At 43.5% G+C, this 6,590-nt stretch overlaps 1 annotated feature.

Annotated features, from left to right (window-relative positions):
* Positions 5,534-6,035: an enhancer, noted in NCBI's record as "H3K27ac hESC enhancer chr1:183128249-183128750 (GRCh37/hg19 assembly coordinates)". NCBI's record gives its function as "activates a minimal SCP1, AML or CMV promoter by ChIP-STARR-seq in primed H9 embryonic stem cells {active_cell/tissue: H9 hESC(primed)}" and the evidence as "EXISTENCE:reporter gene assay evidence [ECO:0000049][PMID:30033119]".

Raw genomic sequence — 6,590 nt, 5'->3', positions numbered from 1 at the left:
GCTTTTGGTGTTCCAGGCCACTGGGCGCCCTTTGTAGGCAGGCATCCTGCCCCTCCTCCAAAAGGAGGCAATCTCCTAAAACATGCCTCTCCTAAGACACAGATGTTCAGACTGTCCTAGAATTAACATGCTCTTAAAAATCATACACATACACACACCCTTTTATTATTATTATTATTATTATTTTTAGAATAAAAGCCATGTCTTAATTAGAATAATTTGCTGGGTAACCAAAAATCCACTTGAACTTTTCCTTGGAGAGACTCCTTCCTTGTAAAACTAAAAAGTATATGCTTTAGGGTTGCTCATTTGAAAGAAAATGGGAGAAGATTATTGTTGGATCAGCCTGTAGTTTTTATATCTGTTTGGTCAGATCAAAATTAGCCACCATTATCTTCACCCCATCAGTATATTTTTTTTCTCTGAAAGCAATTCAAACTTTGTTCCCAAAGCATGAACTTACAGACATAGGCTAGTGTTGTACATTTCTCCAAAGTTTGCCTCCAGAAGAAAAGACCTCTAATGTGCCAGCAGGTTCCTTGCACCCGCCCCCACCTTGGGTCAGGCACAGCCCAGTTGCAGCATTCCAAGGCTCTGACACATCTCCTTGGAAACCCACCCATTGCCTGGTATATAGCAACCTGCATTCCCCAGTGGTAGAGGCCTTGATTCCTGTCTTATCCTGTTCTTCTGTGCTTTCATACACATCTGAGGACAGGCCTTCATTTTGATCTATTATCTCAGGCCATTAAAATGAGCAGAAGGAAAAAAGTCCTTGAACAGCTCCAGTGTAATTGTGGTGAAGATTCTTAAAAAGAATTCTCATGGCCATTTCAGAGCCTCCTCAGTTTCCCCATTTCCTACAAATGCAGCAAATGGAGAACTGCCTTCATTACACAGAAAGTTCAGGGAAGAACATGTTGGTGTTGCAAGTGGTTTCTGGCCAACTATACCCCTGCTAACAGTATTTTTCTAAAGTATGGCACTTCATTTCCAGATTAGGCACACTCACACCTTCATTTAACAAATTAGGTGTCCTCAATGTGTCACCCACTATCTAAAGCATGATTATTATGATCTTTCTGGAAGATTTTGGATCTTGTTCATTCTTAACCATTATTTTTATTCAGCACTATAGTTAATACAGACAGTATAAGTCAAAGTTTTGCTCACCCTTTGCTCACTTGGAATTTTGGAAATCTTTGTTTATTTTTTTAAATGAGATTATTGATATGAGCTTATATTCTTGAGATATTTTTCTTTTAATTAACTCAATTGCTCAGCGGGGAGAGTGGTGGGTGGGATCCAGTCAATCTAAGGGCTTTGATTAATGTTTTATAGGTATGTAGTTTCCAAATTCTTTGCCTGCAGAGGTACACTAAAAGAATGCTAGTTTGCAGAATGCACATGGAACCACAAAAGGAAATACAGTAATCTGATATTTGGTTAGAGTAAATCAGATATCCCTATTTAAACCATTGGCTTTACAAAAATTACACAAGTGTACTTCATCAACCCCAAGCATGCACGCTAGTGTTCATGTGGGACTCAAACCCACCCTTTTGTATCAAGGAGTCTCATCAAGTGTCCATCATGTGTCTGTGTGCAGGATGCAAAGAGCCAGGACATCCATGAGTCACGATGTGTCATTCATGGCCTATGGGCTGACAAAGTGAATAAATATTTCGTTAGGCTTTATTTGAGAAATAAAACTTCAGGACAATGTACTGAAGTGGCTTCAACTGGGACAGGATTGAAAGAGAGAAAAGTGTGATTACTTAACCAAACAAATTATCTAGTAAAACACCTACTTCAGCTACTCACTACTGTGATCACATCTAGATGGTGCCATTTCAATCACGTGTACTTTTTCCACAACCTCAGTTTCAAGCACCCCGTCTCTAATCACCACCGTTGATTCTTGAAGCTCAGTCACTCGAGTGCCCAGACTTTAATAATATCTCAACCCTCTGGAGCCTACGATCCATTGAACCTGCCACCTTTGCACTTCTCCCACCTTCCTTTACCATCATAGCCCTCCTAACCCATTTTAAATTCCATGGTTAGTCATTAGAATCCATCCTTCACACACACCCACAACTTACTGCCTCACTTTGAATTCACGTTCATTAGCTTCAAGGGGTTCTTAATACTACCTGGCCATCAGATCCATTTCCCCAGTCCATTGGCTTTCCTGTTCTCCTCAAAGACCGTTTCACACTTTCCCTTTTTCTTCAAACCTTCCACTCTTCCTCCCCCATGTCACTCTGCTAATGATTTATTTCCTAAGACACACAAAAACCCAGAAGTACTCAGAAGAGAACTTCTACCACACACTTCTACAGCCACATCCCACAATTTGCCTACCTTCCCCATGATCACATATCCCATCTCAGGTCAACAGGAGGGCTCCTCCCTTGCCCTCATCAAGGACTGCACTCAGGGATTCTCTACCTGCATCGTTGGTTTTTTTCTTTCTTCTAGGATATTGCCCGCCTGCCTACAACATGCTGTTGGTTTTTCCTATCTCAAAAAAACAAAACGACTGCCTTGAACCCATGCTATACTTTAGCTTCTGCCCTATTTTTCTGCTCCCCTTTAGAGCAATACGAAAGAGTTGTCCATACTGACTCTCCCCAGTTTCTGTTCTCCTAGTCTCTCTTGAAACTGCTGCAATTAGGTTTCAAGAAACCTCTCCATGGCAATTAGGTTTTTGCCTCCATTATTCCAATGAAACTGCCTATACCTAGGTCTCCAGGGCCTTCCATGTTGTAAACTCAATGGCCAATTCTCAGCCATAATCTTCTTGGCTCTGACAGCATCATTTAACATAACTGATCATTTCTTTCTCCTTAAAACACTTTCTTTTCTTGGTTTCCAGGACATTGTGCTCATAAGGCTTTTCTCCATGAGGCATCTCCTTCTCAGTCTACTTTGCTGAATCCTTTTCTCTCCACCTCTTAACATAGAAGTGCCCCTTAAGGTAGAAGAAGCCACCAGAAGCTCAGGCCTTGAATCTCTTTTATGTCTACGCTCACTCCTTTGATTTTCCCACCTAGTTTCAAAGCTTTAAGCATATATGCTGATGACTTTCAAATTTATGTCTTCAGCCTGCTTGCACAGCTGTCCTGAACACTATGCTCATATATCTAACTGCATAATCGAAATCTCCATTTAGATGGGTAATTAATATCACCAATGTAATACATGCAGAGCTGAACTCCTGATGTTCTGTCCCCCTAGACCTCTTCTGCCTCAGTCTTCCATACCCTTGTTCAGTCCAAGAATCTTGAAGTCATTCTTGACTCTTTTCTTCCATAGAAAATCTTGCTGTCTTACTCTACCTTCAGATCATAATCAGAATTGGATCACTTCTCATCAACCTCCACTGTAATCACGTTGATTCCAGCCCCCCCTTGTCTTTTGCATGGATGATTGTCATTGCATCCCATCTCCTCGCCCTACTTTTGCCCTTGTCCCACTTTGGTCTACCTTAACACAACTGCCAGGAAACTCCTATTATAGTGTGACTCAGGTCATGTCATTCCTTGTTATAGAGGCATCCAGTGGCATTCTATCTCATTCTGAGTAAAAGCCAAAGTCTTTGGAATGGCCTCAAGAGCCAATACTATGTGTCCTGCCCCACCTCCCACCCCATGGGTCTCACTGTCCTCCTTCTCACACAGCCCCAGCCACGGGACCACTTCCACTGCAGGACCTTTTCCCTTGCTGGTGCCTCTGCCTGGAATGTGCTTTCTCTAGATATCTACATGGGTCCAGTCTTCAATTAAATGCCATTTTCTTAAAGAGGCTTTCTCTACCATCTTGTATAAATTTGTAAGCTCACCCTACCCCCAAACATGTTCTCTCTCCCTTCCCAGCTTTATTTTTCTTCATAGAACTTTCTCCCCTGGCTGGGCGCGGTGGCTCACTCCGGTAATCCCAGCATTTTGGGGGGCCAAGGTGGGCCGATCACGAGGTCAGGAGATCGAGACCATCCTGGCTAACACGGTGAAACCCCGTCTCTACTAAAAATACAAAAATTAGCCAGGCATGGTGGCGGGTTCCTGTAGTCCCAGCTACTCAGGAGGCTGAGGCAGGAGAATCACTTGAACCTGGGAGACAGAGGTTGCAGTCGGCTGGGATTGCGCCACTGCACTCCAGCCTGAGCGACAGAGCAAGACTCAGTCTCAAAAAAAAAAAAAAAAAAAAAAAAGAGTTTAGATCTTTCAACTCAATGAAATAGCATTGTTTTGGTTGTTGTTGCTGTTTTGTTTTGTTTTCATAAAAATAAAGCTAGCACCAAGTCCTGGCTGAAAAGTCGAGGTCTATGTTCTTGCTGTTCAGTTTGTGTTCTGTTTGGAGCAGGCTCGGGTCTGAGGGCAACCCCAAAACTACCATTTCTGATATGCAATGTGATGCGGGTGGAGGCAGATGGAATTCTCTTTTAAGAAGTGATCTTGGCCAGGCGCCGTGGCTCACGCCTGCAATCCCAGCACTTTGGGAGGCCCAGATGGGCGGATCATGGGGTCAGGAGATCGAGAGCATCCTGGCTAACACGGTGAAACCCCGTCTCTACTAAAAACACACAAAAAAATTAGCTGGGCGCGGTGGCGGGCGCCTGTAGTCCCAGCTACTCGGGAGGCTGAGGCAGGAGAAAGGCGTGAACCCGGGAGGCGGAGTTTGCAGTGAGCCGAGATCGTGCCACTGCACTCCAGCTTGGGCGACCGAGCGAGACTCCGCCTCAAAAAAAAAAAAGAAGTGATCTTTAAGAATTGAGCTTTGCCTCTTCCATTTTTGAGACTAAAAGGCTTAACTAAAAAGATACTGAAGGCTCCACCCAGTCAAGCCATTCATAGTTGCCCGGTGAACACATGCTTCAGGCGCTCTTTCTTCCTTTGGCAAAAGTCTGATTCTGTAGCCTCTGGCCATGTTCTGGAGGCGGGACACTCCCACTGGGAGCCACACCCGCCTTCATCATGCAGTGAGCACACCAAACAGGTTTGCCTGGCTAGACGGTGGCTGAGGTGTCTGCGGCAGAGGGAAGTACAGTCATGCACACGCCCAGTGACGGAGCCACTGATGGACACCTCCACATGAAGGAAGCAATTGCTCTGCTCTCCCCTGGCTTAAAATAAACAGAGTAACTGCACAAAGGTGGATTTCCTGTGCGAGGAGAGCAGGGCTCAGGGACCCCTTCCCAGCCCTGTGCTTGCTTTTGAAATCCTATATTCTTTTTTTTTTTTTAAAGAGGACTCCCAAATTGTACAAGCTTCAGGCCCCACAAAAACTTTGTTTGCCATGACTATACTAAATTTTGTATATTGTTTCATATACTTACCCATTTATGTGAAGTACTTTATAAGGTAGTGTTGTTCCCATTTACAGGAAACACAGGCAAGATTGAGAGATTTAACCTGAGATCACACACCTAAATTGTCCATGAACGGTGGCTGCCACTCAGTAGGGCCTAAGGTTTACTTGAACTTGTTTTGATGTCTTTTGGTATATTTACTGGTTGTCTGATTTCAAATGCATCTCCCACATTAAAAGACTTGGCTCGCTTTTATTTTATGTTCATGGAACCATGCAGAACAAACGTGCCAAGTCCTAGCAGTAGAGAGTAATGATGAACCCCAGGAAGCCCAGCCCATTCCACCATCTCTCAGCCTGTTCACATCTATGAAGAGAAATTGCCATTTAGGCCTGTAATCCCGGCTGCCTGGGAGACTGAAGCAGGAGAATCACTGGAACCCAGGAGGCAGAGGCTGCAGTGAGCCGAGATCGGGCCACTGCACTCCAACCTGGGTGACAGAGGGAGACTCCATCTCAAAAAAAAAAAAAAAAAAATTGCCATTTAGAAAATCGTGTGAAAAGTAGAGAAACTGATGGGGAACTAAAATACTTATGTTAAGTTTTTAAAAATCAGTATCAGTCGTATCAGTCTCCACCTAGTTTTTCAGAAGGCTTTTGTCTTCCATAGATGGAACATCTTGATTAATTAACCAAGTCAATGTTTATACAATGCTTAGAGTATCTCAGTTTCTTAAGAAACTCAGAGAAGAGTTAACATTCATTGTTTCTAACTCTGTGATGAGCACAGACACATTCTGAACTTCTCTCTTCCTAATTCAAAGAGGTTGCAACCTGTTTCCTAGCAAGGGCAGCTGAAAGTAAAGATAATGTCTGGTTGAGTTCAACATGCAGACACATAGGATATACAAATGGTGAAAGCTAACACCAGGGGGAAAATTGTTAAGAACCAGTACACTAGTTACTAGATATATTAGATGTGATGAATCACTTAGGTGAGGGGCTTATTAAACCCAGACTGTTCTGAATCCTTCCACCCCTACTGTCTGATTCAGTCGGTCTAGGGTGGGGTTTGACAATGCATTTCTAAGAGGTTCCCGGGCAAGACAGATGTTGCTGGGCCCAGAGCTTCACTTTGAGAACCACCACTCTTGGAGATGTTCTGCAGTCCACAATCCTGTGCAAATACAAACTTGGTCTTATTACCTATTCAACCCTCATAAAGCTCAGTGCAAGAGCATAATAAAGCCCTCAATAGTTTTTGACAGACCTTCCTT

The sequence above is a fragment of the Homo sapiens genome, chromosome 1 (assembly GCF_000001405.40).
Source record: "Homo sapiens chromosome 1, GRCh38.p14 Primary Assembly".
Taxonomy (NCBI): domain Eukaryota; kingdom Metazoa; phylum Chordata; class Mammalia; order Primates; family Hominidae; genus Homo; species Homo sapiens.
Note: the sequence above shows the minus strand (reverse complement) of the source record. Positions and strands in the feature narration are given on the sequence as shown.